This window comes from Homo sapiens, chromosome 6, assembly GCF_000001405.40.
Source record: "Homo sapiens chromosome 6, GRCh38.p14 Primary Assembly".
Classification (NCBI taxonomy): Eukaryota; Metazoa; Chordata; class Mammalia; order Primates; family Hominidae; genus Homo; species Homo sapiens.
In genome coordinates this window covers 10,591,277-10,608,885 of record NC_000006.12, presented here as the reverse complement: position 1 = coordinate 10,608,885, position 17,609 = coordinate 10,591,277, and the positions used below count along the sequence as shown (strand labels likewise).

The window sequence follows — 17,609 nt, the reverse complement described above, 5'->3', positions numbered from 1 at the left end:
CTGGGTTCCAGGCCTCATCTTTCAACAATGTCCACACACACCCAAATGTCCTGCCACACATCTGGGAATTCCTGAATTGGTCTTCCATTTTCACACAGCTCTTTGCACCTTGGCTTATGCAAATGTCTAACATAAGAAAACATGCTCAACCTTGTTAGGAACTAAGTTACTAAAGTTAAAACCCTAAGGTAGCCTCTCTTTTTGTGTTTGTTTATTAGAGACAATGTCTCTGCTCTATTGCGCAGGCTGGATTTGAACTCCTGGTTTCAAGGGATCATCCCATGTCACCCTCCTGAGTGGCTAGGATTACAGACATGTACCACTGCACCTAGTAATTCCTCTTTTTATACTTATCAAGCTCGCAAAGATTTAGAAAATAATAATGCCCCATAGTGGAAAAGGTAGAGTGAAATGGAGCCCTCAAACCCGCAAGTGGGAGTATAAATTGGTACAATTTTTGGAAGAGCAATATGACATTCTGGATTAAAAGCCTTAAAAATGTGCATATCGCCAGGCGTGGTGGCTCACGCCTGTAATCCCAGCACTTTGTGAGGCTGAGGCAAGGTGGATCACCTGAGGTCGGGAGTTTGAGACCAGCCTGACCAACATGGAGAAACCCCGTCTCTACTAAAAATACAAAATTAGCCAGGCGTAGTGGCGCATGCCTGTAATCCCAGCTACTCAGGAGACTGAGGCAGGAGAATCACTTGAACCCGGGAGGCAGAGATTGCAGTGAGCCGAGATCGTGCCACTGCACTCCAGCCTGGGCAACAAGAGTGAAACTCCATCTCAAAAAAAAAAAAAAAAAAAAAGTGCATACCATTTGACTCAGCATTTCAATCTATTGGAATCTGTCTCAAGGAAGTTATTTATAAATTATTATTTGAGGCAGAGGAGAGATTCTGAAACCTAAGCAAGTTCTCGAACCTAAGCAGGATTCAAGTGCCTGCTCTGTCAATTACTAACTGTGAGACCACTGACAGGTTATCTAATCTCTCTGTTCCTCAGTTTCCCTATCTCAAAATTAGAGTAAAAGCAGCATGTTTACCATGTGAACTTATTGTGAAGTACATAATATACTTAAAACCCTCTGAATGGCGCTCGGTACATAGTGCTGTTAAAGTATCTATCATCATTAATTATCAATTTTATTAACAAAACAACTGATTACCAATAAGACCCCCCAAATGTCTGTAAGTTAGGGCTTTTCTAAATAAATTATATTGCATTCAAATGATAGCACTCTACAGAGCTATTAAAAATTATGGTGACAAACTCTTCATGACATGGAAAGCCATGACATACTGTTAGGTGAGGTGAAATGGTCTGGATCTGTGTCCCTGCGCAAATCTCATGTTGAATTGTAATCCTCAGCGTTGGAGCTGGGGTCTGGGTGGGAGGTGATTGGATCGTGGGGGCGTTTTCCAGTGGTTTAGCACCGTCCTCCTAGCGCTGTCTCGTGATAGAATTCTCGTGAGATCTGGCTGTTTAAAAGTGTGTGGCATCTCCCCGTTCTGCTCTTCCTCCTGCTCCAGCCATGTGAGATGCTTGCTCCCTTTTTGCCTTCCACAATGTTTGAAAGTTTCCTGAGGATTCCCCAGATGCTGAGCAGATGCCAGGATTTTGCTTGCTGTACAGCCTGTGGAACTGTGAGGCAATTAAGCCTCTTCTCTTTATAAAATACCCAGTCTCGGCAGATCACCTGAGGTCAAGAGTTCAAAACCAGCCCGGCCAACATGGTGAAACCCCGTCTCTACTAAAAATACAAAAAATTAGCTGGGTGTGGTGGTGCACCCCTGTAATCCCAGCTATTTGGGAGGCTGAGGCAGGAGAATCGCTTGAACCCGGAAGGCGGTGGTTGCAGTGAGCCGAGGTCACGCCATTGCACTCCAGCCTGGGTGACAGAGTGAGACTCTGTCTCAAAAAAATAAATAATAAAAATAAATAATAAATAAATTACCTAGTCTCAGGTATTTCTTTATTGCAATGGGAATGGACTAATACATGAGGAGAGCTGGTTATAAAAACCAGTAAAGACATGTAAAACTATGCTTTTATATAAAAAACATATACTGAACTATTATCTCTGAGTATTGAGTTTAGTGATGATTTTTATTTTAGTCTTTATCGTTTTCTGCATTTTATTTTTAAAATGTTACTTTTATGACCACTGCTGGGCAGGTGGCGATTTTAAAAATTTCTCAACCACTATTAAATTTCTTTAATGGAAATTTCCATTAAATTTCTTTAATGGAAATTTCCATTAAATTTCTTTAATGGAAGTTAAAGGTACATTCTCAAAATTAACTAGAAAAAACTCATTTTTAAAAGAGATCCCAATAAATATCTTGCTTTATCATATGTTTCTGCTAAACAAGGATATATTTTGATTTGTTGTGGCAGGCTGCAAAAGATGGTCACAAATGTGTCTGTCTCACTGCTATATGCAGTCATTGTTCAGTATGACTTTGCAGCTTTTCCATTAAGAGGGGGAAAATGTTTCTCTACCTCTTGGATCTAGTTTTGGCCATGTGACTTGCTTTTGGCCAATGGGACATTAGCAAACCTGACAAGAAGGAGCCTCACTCTGTCACCCAGGCTGGAGTGCAATAGCGTGATCTTGGCTCACTGCAACCTCTGCCTCCTGGGTTCAAGCGATTCTCCTGCCTCAGCCTCCCGAGTAGTCGGGATTACAGGCATGCACCACCACACCCGGCTAATTTTTGTATTTTTAGTAGAGACAGGGTTTCGCCAAGTTGGCCAGGCTGGTCTCAAACTCCTGACCTCAGGTGATCTGCTTGCCTTGGCCTCCCAAAGTGCTAGGATTACAGGCGTGAGCCACCGCACCTGGCCAAAGACTTAAAAAACATTTGTTGACCAGGGCTTGTCCTCTCCTTGAGGCCATCAAGTGAAGCAGCTGAGGCAAGCCCATCAGAGAAGGAGAGATCATTGGGGAGAACGCCAGGTCAGGTGAGTGATACCATCCGAGACCATCTAGCCCTAGTGGAGCTGGCCTTGATCAGAAGAACTCAAAGAATCACAAAAAAACTTTTTTCAAGCCACCAAGTTTAGGAAGTTCTTTTTTTCCCAGGAAAATCTTAACTGATTTTTTTTTCTTTTACAAAGTAGATAGCAGGTGCAAATGGTAGGGAATAAATGAGGGCCAAGTCAACAAACTAGTAAATTCCATTCTTCGGTTTTTATCCCTGACGCTAGCTTTCATGTGTACCAGCGTTTCCTCACTGTGGCTGCCATTTTAGAATCATCTATGGAACTTTTTAAAAGTACCAATGACAGGGCCCCATCTCCCAGGCATTTTGAATACCTGGGTGGAGGTGGGGCCCAGACATTGGTATTTTTTTAAAATATCCTAGATGGTCAGGTGCAGTGGCTCACGCTTGTAATCCCAGCACTTTGGGAGGCCAAGGCAGATGAATCGCCTGAGCCCAGGAGTTCAAGACCAGCCTGGGCAACATGATGAAATTCTGTCTCTACAAAGAAAAAAAAAAAAAAGCCAGGCGTGGTACTGTGCGTCCCAGCTACTTGAGAGGCTGAGGTAGGGGGATGGCTTGAGCCTGGGAGGCAGAGGTTGCAGTGAGCCAAGATTTTGCCACTGCACTCCAGCCTGGGTGGCAGAGTGAGACTCTGTCTCAAAAAAAAAAAAAAAAAAAAAAAAATTCCTACATGAAAGCAATATGTGGTTAAGGTTGAGAACACCTGTTTTTTGTTTTTTGTTTTAAAGAGATAGGATCTCACTCTGTCTCCCAGGCTGGAGCACATGGCGCAATCATGGATCACTGCAGCCTTCACCTCCTAAGCTCAAGTGATCCTCCCACCTCAGCATCCCAAGTAGCTGGGACCACAGGTATGCACCACCATGCCCAGCTAATTTTTAAATTTTTTTATAGAGACAGGGTCTTGCTATGTTGCCTGGGCTAGGAATACCTGTTCTTCATAGAAGTCTTTTATTGAACATCTTTTTTATAAAGATAATACATTTTTCTTTCTTTTTCTTTTTCTTTTTTTTGAGACAAGGTCTCACTCTGTCACCCAGGCTGAACTGCAGTGGTGCAATCACAGGTCACCACAGCCTCAACCTCCCCAGACTCAAGTGATCCCACCTCAGCCTCCCAAGTAGCTGGGACTAGCTGGATGTGCCACCGTGCCTGGCTAATTTTTGTATTTTTCGTAGAAATGGGGTTTCACCATGTTGCCCAGGCTGGTCTCAAACTCCTGGGTTTGAGACACCCACCTGCCTTGGCCTCTCAAAGTGCTGGAATTACAAGCGTGAGCCAGCACACCTGGCCCAGAGATAATACTTCATAGTATTATCTATAGCACTAAAGCACCAAGTATTATGTCTCAGTAAGGAGAGAGTTTATTTTTCACCAAATACAGCAACTTTCTTTAAGTCTTGGAGATTTTCAAAGTACAGAAAAGTTCAAAGAAGTAGCCAATTGTTTATTTTCCAACTCCCTCAAATTAGCTAGTGTTAGCATTTTGGCATATTTACCTTGTGAGTCTTTACTTATTTTCTCTTAAAACTATTATTCTGTAACTTCTGCCAAATAGGACAGTGGTTATTAGAATAATTTCAAATAATACATTAAAGTACAAAAAACAAAGATCAAATAAAAAAACACATTATGAAATCTAATACCTACAAGTAACAATCATTAAGAAAGCATAGGCTGGGCGCGGTGGCTCACGTCTGTAATCCCAGCACTTTGGGAGGCCGAAGCGGGCGGATCACATGAGGTCAGGAGATCGAGACCATGCTGGCCAACATTGTGAAACCTCATCTCTACTAAAATACAAAAAAATTAGCCGGGCGTGGTGGCGTGCGCCTGTAATCCCAGCTACATGGGAGGCTGAGGCAAGAGAATCGTTTGAACCGGGGCGGCGGAGGTTGCAGTGAGCCAAGATTGCACCACTGCACTCCAGCCTGGTGATAGAGCAAGACTCCATCTCAAAACAAACAAACAAACAAACAAACAACAAACCAAAAAACAAACAAGCAAACAAAAACCTTAAGATAGCATTATTAAAAAAAAAAAAAAAAAAAAAAGACTGTCAGGCACAGTGGCTCACACCTGTAATCCCAGCACTTTGGGAAGCTGAGGCAGGTGGATCACTTGACACCAGGAGTTCAAGACCAGCCTGGCCAACATGGTGAAACCCCGTCTCTACTAAAATACAAAAATTAGCTAGGTGTGGTGGCAGGCGCCTGCAGTCCCAGCTACTCAGGAGGCTGAGGCACAACGATCACTTGAACCCAGGAGGCGGAGGTTGCAGTGAGCTGAGATTGCACCACTGCACTCCAGCCTGGGCAACAGAGAGAGACTCTGTCTCAAAAAAATAAAAAAAGACTGTGGCTTATGTCTTTCCCTCCCCTGTCTGCATCTGGACTGACACGGGTGCTTCCCACCGTGGCGCTGTGTGGTGCGCAGTGCCTCTTGTTTCTAGGGCAACTGTGAATAACATTAAAGTTTTCTTCCAATGGCAGAAAAAAAGGGAAGAAAATACCATTTCATAAAACATCTTCCAGACAAAGAAATACTTCCATGTGAGCTTATGACAATAACGTAACTATTAAATAGCTGACTAACCTACATTGAACATAGATTGAAAACAACCTTTTACAAGGGACCTGTACCATTGAGATGTATGAGGTTTCCTTACATTAAATGAGGTGAGGCGTCACTCATGTACACGTTTATCACTTTGATGGGTTTTTGAGTTCAAAAACTGCCTCTTTAGGACTTAAGTTTTATTGGATTCCAGAAATGAGAGATTCTGTTGTTTGCAGCACTTGAACATCAAGTAATAAGCTTTTTCTGCCATCTATTTATTCAGATGTGTTTGTTCACAGCTTGACCTAGGTATTTTGCATTTCAGGTGGCATTTCCTAGGTTTTACTGACTCTTTCAAATAAAAGTACAGCATTGATTTGCCTCTCACAGCAGGGTCGTCTCTCTGTCTGAAATCAATAGAACACAGTTTGCCCTGAACTGTTTTGTTTGTAACCGGGGGAAAAGTTCTTAATGACTCCACCAGACAAATTTTCATCTTGCCCTGCACACAGTGCCTTCTTCACCTTCAAAACAAGGCACCAGGCTGCACCCAGCTAGATATAAATGCAGAATTCATTCACAACTTGTAAAACCTTCCCTCCAATTCCATGTACGAGCAGCCAAGTAAGAAATTATGCTCACTTACGACTCTTGTTTAATTTTAACCCCTATTTGCAAACCGAGACAGGTCAAAAGTTGTTTAAGGTCAATGGTAAATTCCATTTGTTGCTGCATGTACTACAGTATATATAGATTGCTAAGTCTGGGAACTAAGTCCCTATCTATTGCAAGCCTAATGTTTTATAAAGAACAGCAGGGCAGTTCTGTTTACAGTCTTATTCTACAAATAACCTAGGCCTGGCACTTCTTCCTGAAATACCCATTTAACCTGGACATTTGGATGAAAAGCCCTGGGCTTCCGTTAGAAGTTACACAGCGACACAAAAACACACACATAATTAATGCAGTCAGGACCACTGTTAATCTTGGACGTGTCTGGGAAGGAGCCCTTGTGGGGTAGGGGGTCCTAGGAGTACCAGGAACATGGTTTCTTGAGCTGTGCATACAGGTAAGAGCAATGTAAAACTTCAGTGATCTGTTCAATTCTGGTATGTGCAATTTTCTGTATATAGGATTATATTGCAATAAAAAGTTTACAAAAGTTATAGAGTAGACAGAAATGTAATATTTAAATAACTTTGTAAAATAAAGCAATGAGACTGCAAAGAAATGTTGGCCTCTTCAGTGGTTTGCCCTCGTACCCTCTCCTCTGCCTAGGGCTGATTTAGGGACTGCAGTGGCAGTTTCCAGTATCCAGTTTTCCGGCATCAAGGGCTTTAGTGTTTTTTTTGTTTTTTTTTTTTTTTTTCTTGAGATGGAGTCTCGCTCTGTTGCCCAGGCTGGAGTGCAGTGGCATGATCTCAGCTCACTGCAAGCTCCGCCTCTCGGGTTCACGCCATTCTCCTGCCTCAGCCTCCTGAGTAGCTGGGACTACAGGCACCCGCCACCACGCCCGGCTAATTTTTGTATTTTTAGTAGAGACGGGGGTTTCATCATCTTGGCCAGGCTGGTCTTGAATTCCTGACCTTGTGATCCACCTGCCTCAGCCTTCCAAAGTGCTGAGATTACAGGCGTGAGCCACTGCGCCTGGCCAAGGGCTTTACTTTTAAATACTTGAATATTTTAGAAACAGAATTATGGACATCTTCAGATCAAGACCAATGACTAATATATTCAATTTATAGGAAAAAATAAACCATTGAGCCATCTGCAAACCTAAGCAGAGTTTTTCCTGTAAGAATTCTGATAAGAAACCATACTGGGGCGTTGTGGCATGCTCACCATGATGCTCTTGTATGATCTGATTGATTGATGGCAACTTTTATGAGTCTGTCACATGTGTTTTCAGAATAAAAGTGGGACACACTTTTGGTTGTTCTTGTTCTTCCAATTAAGTTCACGGTGTTTCTACTATTCATTCTGAATCACTGATATTGAAAAATCAAAGGTAATAAAAGTACAAGTTTAATTACATAATTAAATGCTGTACTTACTTTTAGTTTATTGCCCCAAATGAATAATATTACTAAGAATAGCCCTACTTTTTCAAAAAAATAACGGGCCCAGCTGCTTCTGTTATTTATGGGCAAAACAAATAACATGGAAAAAGAAAAGCAGGGCAAAAGGAACCAATACTCAATAGATATTAAAACTACCAGAGGGCTGGGAGCGGTGGTTCATGCCTGTAATCCCAGCACTTAGGGAGGCCAAGGCAGGTGAATTGCTTGGGTCCAGGAGTTCAAGACCAGCCTGGGCAAAATGGCGAAACCCCATCTCTACAAAAAATACAAAAAATTTGCTGGGTGTGGTGGCATGCGCCTGTAGTCCCACGTACTCAAGAGGCTGAGGTGGGAGGATTGCTTAAGCCTGGGAGGTGGAGGCTGCAATAAGCCAAGATTGCACCACTGCAATAAGCCAAGATCGCATCACTGCACTCCAGCCTGGGCAACAGAATGAGATGCTGTCTCTAAATAAATAAATAAATAAATAAAAATAAAACTGCCTGAGGATCTAAGAGAGACCCTCACGAGCACCTTGTAACATACAAAAGGCATTCATTAATAGAAAAGAAAGAAGAAGCAGCAGCGCTTTCTCAGCCCTCAATGGCTACATACGCTATGATAAAAATATGACTTTCCGGAAAAGGCAAGCAGCAGGGATGGAGAACAGGTCAGGATTTGGCAAGGGGACACTGGGGGTAGGGGTTGGCTCCCAGGGGCAGCATGAGGGAATTTTGGGAACTGGCGGAATTGTTCTTGATGGCGGTAGTGGATGCGTGACTCTATACCACTATCAAAACACACGGAACTGCACACTAAAGAGAGTGAACTGTATGTATATAAATTAAAGAATACAAAGAAGCTGCTTCAAAATCAACAACAATGTAAAACAGAACGGATCTCCTTTATGGTAAATGTATACATTTCAAAAACTGTATTATATAGTATACCTATAAGACTTTGATGTAATATTGATATGCACTCTTTTCCCATAAATTCTGAACACTTTTTAAGAATCCTGTCATTGAAACCCAAATTTCAGTATTAGTATAGACACCAAAATATTCATACTGCCCCTTTGCTCAGATATCTATGACATTTCAGAAAGAAATTATAAGAAGCACTAAATATAGAAAGATTATTGTCTTGAAGGACTTAAAAGTCTTATCTTTGTGGCCAGGTTCAGCTGCTAAATCATGCAACACAGACAAATCATTTCGTCTCCCTGTGCCTGGTTTCTCCACTTTAAATGATGAGAGTATCCCTTCCAACCCCAGCACAGGATTACACATTCCACTTCACAAAATCATTCTGTTATTCCTGAAGGAGCCTGAGTTTCTGCTTCTTTCATATCTTCCACTCAAAAAAACTTCATCACCACAACCTTCCTCTTTCTATGTGCCAGGAGTGATGCTCTTGGCTTTAGAATTAATGAGTTATAAGTTATTAAAGAGTTCATAATTCATGGCTCACAGCATGTGCCTTCTCCTCCTTTGCCACCATGAGATTAGCAGTTATTATCATTCCTTGGCTGAGAAAACCCAGTGTGGAGAATTGAAAAGATCTGTCCAAGATCGTAAGCTACAAGAAGCCATGATGTGAGCCCCCTACTCTTGGAGAGAGGGGAAGCTACCGTCTTCATTCTACCATAGCTCTCAATTCTCTGGGGACCACTGGCGGACTCTGAAGGTACATGGCCTCATGTCTAATTCATACGGCACACTGTCTCCTGCTCTTACCTCCGCTGGGATACAATAGATGGAAGCTGATAGGGAGATGGGCAAGATGCCTCTCACTGAAACACCCGGTTTCAGTCTGGTTCAGGTGCTCCCTCATTCTGGTGGAAACAACACCACATATTTTACTGAGGTAGACACAGAGAAGATTCAGGTTATTTGGGAATTGTTAGGTTTTCTCTTTTCAAGAGTCAGTTAACACTGGCCTGGGATTGCTGTTGGCTCCCTGTGTTTCCTAGCGTTGCAGTACGTGGACTGACGCGCCTGTGAACAGCGCACCTGGTACAATCGATCCCACTCACCAATGCCAGATTCTTAGTTACTCTGCTCCTCTCATTCCTTGTGCAGGATGAGCTCTGGTACTATGGGAAGCTGAGGGACGGAGGGAATTCAAGCTGCTTTTGTCTGAGTTTCAGAAAATCTTCCAGACCCTTTGTAATGGCACTTTGGGGGACTGCATTTTTTCTAGCACCTTAACAAGGGGAAATTGTTCATTGCTAATTTTCCCCTTAACGAGGGCAATTGGGTGGAATAAATACAACACTTATTTACACTTACTAGGCACCATGCGCCATTCCAGGCACTTGATATGTATTCATACATTTCATTTGCACAGTGGTAGGTAATGTTAGTATCTCCATTTTACATATACAGAAACTGAGAATCAGAGAGAGAACATAATTAGCCTCACGTCACACACACTAGGAATCTGCAAAGCTGGATTGGAAGCCAAATGATCCGGCTCCAGAGGGCCCCTTCCCTCCCCAGCACTGAATACACTACACTAGCCTTGTCCAGCTCAGCGTCCCTGGGCACATCGAGAAAATACTCTTGGAAACAAGGGGAAATGTGCTACATTAAGAACAATCAGAGAGGTGAAGATATTGTGTAAGTACTTGGTACTCAGTTTCCTCCTTTGGTCAGAATTTTACAGCACAAAAATCACCCCCACACACTGCCTAGGGTGGCTGGCCTGAGTTCTACATTGTAGCAGTAGTGGTGGTTGGCATCCAGATGTGGACACAGTGACCGTGACAAAGAGAGAAATTCAATGCCCAGAGGCCATTGTTTCATTAATCCTACTGTCCACGGTGTAATATAAATAGGAATGTCATGACATTAATATACCGTGGAGAGGGAGAAGGGGGAGAGATGGAGGTGATAACTGAATTAACAATGGCTGAGAGGGGAGATATACCCCCATAGTCTGTAACTCTCACAACAATCTCATGAAATTGGTATTGTCCTCAATTTACAGATAAGTCACCGGAAGCCCATGTTAAGATACGTTAATTGCTCAAGATCTGACAGCAGGGAAACAAAACCTAAGTCTGCCTGCCTCAAATACTTCTGCTTTTTTCACTGCATGCTCCAGAGTTAAAGCAAAATAATACAGGAATCTCTTCGGAGATGACCTAGCCCAATTTCCTCATTTTACACATGAGGAAACTGAGGCCCAGAGAGGTTAAGTGACATGCCCAAGGCCAAACAGTTATCTACAGACAAAGGTTAAAATTTAGAACAGAATTGTATAGTGTGGGTATCTAAGTCACTAGCCTCTCTTACACAGTACTCGAAAGCACTTTTTTAAAAAAAGAAAATTAAACATTCACGCATGGCTCATAATCCTTACTTTCCATTTGCTTAGTATTCTACTGTTTTTAACTGTGCAGTGTGAAGTGTTTAAAAAGTCAAAGTTCATGAGCTACTGTTCCAATCCTTAGTGTCTTCTGGGGTCATCAACACTCACATCCTGGCCAGGCGTGGTGGCTCACGCCTATAATCCCAGCACTCTGGGAGGACAAGGTGAGAGGATTGCTTGAGCCCAGGAGTTCAAGACCAGCCTGGGCAACAGAGTGAGACCCCATCTCTAACAAAAAAAGCAAAACAACAACAACAACAAAAACCCTCATAGCCTTGGAGACACCCAGAGATTCTTCTAGCCCTTTTACAAATATCTTTGAAAAGAAATGTTAGCAAGTCGTAGTCACTGCTATAAGACTGTCTCCAGACCAATTCCAGATATATTTTATGGGGTGGAAGTTGAATTAAGACAATTCCTGGCCGGGCGTGGTGGCTAGTACCTATAATCCCAGCACTCTGGGGGGCTGAGGCAAGCAGATTGCTTGAGCTCGGGAGTTTGACACCAGCCTGGGCAACATGGCAAAACCGTCTCTACTAAAAATACAAAAAATTCGCCTGGCATGGTAGGGCACACCTGTAGTCCCAGCTACTCGGAAGGCTGAGGCACGAGAATTGCTTGAGCCCAGGAGGCAGAGGTTGCAGTGAGCCGAGATCATGCCACTGCACTCCAGCCTGGGTGATAGAGTAAGATCGTGTCTCAAAAAAAAAAAAAAAAAAAAGGCAATTCCTACTTTCTAATAAATTCTCAAACACCTTAAAAACTTTCTTTAATGTCCTAAAACCAAAATTAACTGAGGCTCAGTTTGGTTAAATAACTTGTTCAGTGACTGACAAGCTGTTAAGTAGTGAGGCCTAGGATTCAAAAGATCTGTCCTATTCCAAAGTTTGTATTCTTTCATCCACATCACGCTGCAAGATCAAAGACCTCATGCAAAGTAACGAGGCTTAATAACTTAATAACTGAGGCATCTCAAATTAAATTACAGATGTGAAAAATTAACAACAATGAATCTCATAGAGAAGCCTCTGTGAGAATACGCAGTAATGGAAAATACATTCAGATTTGGCTGAAGGCAAAATATCATCGTGTCAATTCTATATTCAAACATACTTTGGACTCATTGTCTTTTTTTTTTTTAATAGAGGAAACAGAATATTCAGTCTGGAGAAGAGATGAAAACAAGGGAACTTTAATGGTTAGAGGGATACACAGGAAACAGTGTACCCCACTAACCATACAGTGGGATACCAGTGTACCCCACTAACCAATCTTCTACTCTTAGTACCATACTCCTTCCCATTTTTCCTCCAGAAAAACGGAGGCCAAGAGAATGGAAATCTTTTTTTTTTTTGAGATGGAGTCTCACTCTCTTGCCCAGCCTGGAGTGCAGTGGCGCAATCTCAGCTCACTGCAACCTCCGCCTCCTGGGTTCAAGTGATTCTCCTGCCTCAGCCTCCTGAGTGGCTGGGATTACAGGCATGCACCACCACGCCTGGCTACTTTTTGTATTTTAGTAGAGACGGGGTTTCACCACGTTGGCCAGGCTGGTCTTGAATGCCTGACCTAGTGATCCACCCGCCTAGGCCTCCCAAAGTGCTAGGATTACAGGTGTGAGTCACTGCACCCAGCTGAATGGAAATCTTAACAAACCGCATTCTGCCTCCTACTTTGAATGCCTAAAGAGCTTGTGCTTGTAGATTCAGCTTTGTTGCTGAAAAACAAAGAAAAAGAAAACTCAGTCCGGTTCATGTAGTATAGCCTAAAAGGTGAAGTTGGATAAAAATATTTTTACTTTTCAGTGAACTGTTATTATGGGATGAGGAGAAAGCCTTAGTCTGGAATATCAGAATTTTGCATTTTCTTTGAAAAGAGGAAGCTACTTATTTATGAGAATTATAGTGTCAACTCAAAGATTTGTCATACATTTTCGGTTTTTTTGCTTTGAGTTTGCATAACAAGTTGATGATTGTCGAAACTGGCTGATGGGCATGTGAGGATTACAGTACTGTTCTCTGCACTGTTGTGTGTGTTTATAAGTTTTTCTATTAGAGTTTAAAAATTACTCCTCTGCAAAGAGGATGGGCAAAATTTGTTTTAACACTGAGGAAGCCAAACACTCAAAATGGGAAGATGTGGCCAAGCCAGTCAAAACCTACATAGAATAATTGTGAAAAGGCTCTCATTTTTTTTCAGATCTTGGCTATGTTGATTTCCTTTCCCAAGAAATTATATTATGACATCTTAAGTCCTTTCTGGAACATGGTACGGCTTAAGAAAAGAAAGCAACCCAACCAACCGGCCGGGCAGAGTGGCACGCCTGTAATCCCAGCACTTTGGGAGGCCGAGATGGGCAGATCACGAGGTCAGGAGATCGAGACCATCCTGGCCAACACGATGAAACCCCATCTCTACTAAAAATACAAAAAATTAGCTGGGTGTGGTGGCGGGCACCTATAGTCCCAGCTACTTGGGAGGCTGAGGCAGGAGAATGGCGTGAACCCAGGAGGTAGAGCTTGCAGTGAGCCAAGATCGCGCCACTGCACTCCAGCCTGGGGACAGAGCAAGACTCCGTCTCAAAAAATTAAAAAAAAAGAAAGAAAATAAAGCAACACAATTCCTGCTCCTTTCCTGTGATATGACTGATTTCAAAAATAGATAGCATTGACATCCTTCATGTTTTTAAGGAAACACTCTTCTAATGGATAATACACATTTCATAGTGTTATGTAAGGGGTAAGTGAAGCTTTTTGGTGGTCATAAAAAGTACATCAATAACACTAATGGAAATCAAAATGATCAAGAACAGATATCCCAGTCTGGGCAACATAGTAAAACCCCGACTCGACAAGAAATTAAAAATTAGCAGGGCATGGTGAGGCAGGCTTATAGTTCTAGCTACTGGGGAGGCTGAGGTGGGAGAATTGCTTGAGCCTGGGAAGTCGAGGCTACAGTGAGCCGTGATCACACCACTGCACTCCAGCCTGGGGAACAGAGCAGGGACCTTATCTCAAAAAAAAAAGGAACTGGTATCCACCTGAACATGTCAATTTACTTTACACATTTCCTCCTATCCATCTTTGGGTACATCTACATCTAGTTTTATATGGTTGGTGAGCCATGGCATAGACATCCTTCTATAGTGAGATTTAAATTGCTTTTATTCAACACCTTGAGGATCTCATTAGTGTAGGAACACAAGACCACATGTAGGTTTTTCTTAATAAATGTTCACATTAATAAGTGGATAAACACCTAACCTGTCATTTTACCCCATTTTTAAAATTTAATTCTCAAAACAGCCTTACTAAGTAGCCATCATTATTGTGACTACAAAATGAAGAGTTTTAGGTCAGAGTACACAAGGTCATCAAACTAACGGAGATAAAGCTAAAATTCAATATTGCATTTGTCTCACTCCAGAGCCCATAATATATCCTTAATATGAGTACATCCCAAATATCAGTTATTTGCATACCACTTTCATGAAGTCTGCCATATGCAATCAACACCATAAAGCTTTTCCTTATATCAACTAGTTTTTATTTTTACTGGTGGTTGGAAATGAACAGAATCGGCATTTGCTGCAAATCTATACATGTGCCAGTCTCTGTAAAAGATGGTCCGTGTCAGCAGTTCTCAAAGTGTGGCCCCCAGATGAGAAGCTGCAGGATAACCCAGGAAACTGTTAGAAATGCAAATTCTGGGGACTGCTCCAGACCTGCTGAATCAGAAACTTCGGGGTAGGGCCCAGAAATCTGTGCTTTAACAGGACCTGCAGAAGGTTCTGAGGCATGGCCAAGTCTAGGAACCCCTGTACTATATGCATTAGCTTATTTAATACTCACAACTTCTCTGGGAACTAAGTACTATTTATTATCTCCATCATCACAGATGAGTAAACTAAGGCTCAGTGTAAACTAACACCAGTGTCACACAGTTGGCAAGTATTGGGAGGACAGACTTACACTACGTCTGTCTCCAAAGTCGTTTACCTGATAGCATGTGGGCTCAAACAAAGGAGGATGGAAGGAGATGCTTTTGTATTGTGTAAAGAGAAATAGGGAAGAGATATGTATTTTCAAGAGATAATTTAGACGTCGAGTATATATTGATCATTGTACTATGGACATTGATATATACATATATCAATTATATATAGCTTTGATATACCACTAATATTTTATTGTTTTTAGAAGCCATCAAAATGCAATACTTCATTTAAAACAAAGACAACTGTCTAGGTGCAATGGCTCACACCTGTAATCTCAGCACTTGTAGGAGGCTGAGGAGAGAATCAATTGAGCCCTGGAGTTTGAGACCAGCCTGGGCAACATATCGAGATCCCATCTCTACACAAAATTTAAAAATGAGCCAGGTGTAGTGGTGCATACCTGTAGTCCTTGCTACTTGGCAGCCTGAGGCAGGAGGATTACTTGAGCCCAGAAGGCTGAGGCTGCAGTGAGCTAAATTAATGCCACTGCACTCCAGTCTAGGTGACAGAGGGAGACCCTATCTCAAAACAAAACAAAGACAAAAACAACTCCTGCTTCTAGAAAAAACTGTCTTATACAATCGATAAGGAATGACAGGAGGATGAATGAGTTGGAGAAATGATCTTGCCGGTTCTAAAGCAGTAGAAAGAATGCTCATCCTTTCCGCTAGAATTAAATTCATGTTCAGTTCAGCTTAGTAGATGTTTACCAATCATGATTGTACTTATACTTAATTCAATATTCACTTTATATATACTTTATACTAATATATACTTTAATCCAATTTGTCTTGTTTTATAAAATGTTGTTCTAGAGATTAGGAATTAACAGCTAATTAAGGCTGGGCGTGGTGGCTCACGCCTGTAATCCCAACACTTTGGGACCCTGAGGTGGGTGGATCACGAGGTCAAGAGATCGAGACCACCTTGGCCAACATGGTGAAACCCCATCTCTACTAAAAATATGAAAAAATTAGCTGGGCATGGTGGCACACACCTGTAGTCCCAGCTACTTGGGAGGCTGAGGCAGGAGAATTGCTTGAACCTGGGAGGCAGAGGTTGTGTGAGCCGAGACCACACCACTGCACTCCATCCTGGCGACAGAGTGGTACTCTGTCTCAAATAAATAAACAAACAAACAAACAAACAAATAAAAATAAAAGAGCTCATTAAGAGTAGCGTTTCCCAATTATTTCCTTTTTAGGGGTGGCGAACAGAAATGTTAGGGTACAGATTCTCCAATGAAGGAGATGATCCTTCCCAAATAGTACAATGGAGCCAGTGGCTGGAAACGTCACAAATGATTCTACAAATGGCTATAGCGTCAGCATAATTTACTGTGTAAATACTTTATAACCTGCCTAAGGTTTCTCTACCAGGAGCCCAGCATCTTATGATGTAGACCCATCAATCTAGGTGCTCACAAGAGCTGGGATACATTGTAAATTAAAATCTTCCCCTGTGATCCTACCTGAATTACTGACCTGGGAAGAGCCTAGAGCCCTTTACTGAAGAGGTTAAATAAGCCAGACTGGTCCACATCACTAACGCAATATTTTGAAAATCATGTTCTCATTTATTATGCATACTTAATATCATCTGGCTATCCAAAAATATTATTTTAAGAGTCTGTTCAATGGATACGAACCTATGGAAGTATCTGTTTTGTGGAATTTCTCCTTCAGCCAGAATTTATCTCCATATTGACAAGACAAATGTCAGTGTGGATTGTCCTCCAGCCCCCCCAAGTAGCGTTATTTTAGACTCGAACGTCCTGGTGACGTTTGTTAAGACATGATTCTACCCCATCATTCAACGTTTGTAATTAATTCTCAGTCACGGGTCCAATCAGCATGAGTGAATGAATCCTTTGTGGTCCTAGAAACTGAATTCAAAGTCTGGGCTGATGTAGAGAGAACACAATGCATACTTTGAAAAAGACTGGGACTGATTCAGCCACACCCAGACGTAAGGTCCCAGTGACCTTCCTGCAGAGAACATATACCTTCTAAATAGCTCAGTGTTTACAGTTGTTGAGAGCTGGAGAGACGTTTTGAGTTTCTTTCTATTGTTGTCTCTTCTTAGCCTCTCATATTCTTATAGTCTTGGTTTTTTTCCTAAGCCAACAATTCAGGAGAAGTCTACATTAAATTAAGTGAGAAGAAGCCCAGTGCATGAATGTGAGTAGCCCGGGAGTGGTACTAGCAGGAGGAGGGAGTGGGTGGCAGGTGTGGAAGAAACTCACACCAGGTGCAAGGAAGGCAGAAACTAAGTGGAGGCGTCTGCATACGCCGCCTGCTGTGACTTTCTCTTGGCATCAGAATCCGACTGCATCATGGGCCCAGGTTGGCTGTGTGGGAGCCACATTTTCTAAGGAAAGACTCTATCCCATTAACATTTTATCTGGAATAAAGTGGGGCTCGCTAATTCTTTCAGGACTCTCTCATATTTACTGATATCATTTGTTGGCCTGGCCATTGTGGAGTTTTACCTACTGTTTCTCCAATCCCTACTACCAAAAATTATCCCCCATCCTAGGTACAGGGTACACTTTCATAGGTTCTGCCCATCTTCTCAGAACTCTCCAGCACATTCCTGCCCCTC

The 17,609-nt window shown here is 42.2% G+C and overlaps 1 protein-coding gene across 10 annotated transcripts in view, besides 1 other annotated feature; it reads right to left on the bottom strand.

The window, feature by feature from the left end:
- Positions 1-17,609, bottom strand: part of GCNT2 (glucosaminyl (N-acetyl) transferase 2 (I blood group)) — a 108,018-nt gene that overhangs the window by 20,483 nt on the left and 69,926 nt on the right. Inside the window, exon 4 of one of the 10 annotated variants that reach the window (XR_002956275.2) lies at positions 7,416-7,561. The exons of the other annotated variants lie outside the window; for them this stretch is intronic. The gene's annotated coding sequence lies outside the window, so the exon portion shown is untranslated. The remainder of the gene's footprint in view (positions 1-7,415; positions 7,562-17,609) is intronic. 10 annotated transcript variants of the gene reach the window in all.
- Positions 11,967-12,954: an enhancer, noted in NCBI's record as "NANOG-H3K27ac-H3K4me1 hESC enhancer chr6:10596165-10597152 (GRCh37/hg19 assembly coordinates)". NCBI's record gives its function as "activates a minimal SCP1, AML or CMV promoter by ChIP-STARR-seq in naive and primed H9 embryonic stem cells {active_cell/tissue: H9 hESC(naive and primed)}" and the evidence as "EXISTENCE:reporter gene assay evidence [ECO:0000049][PMID:30033119]".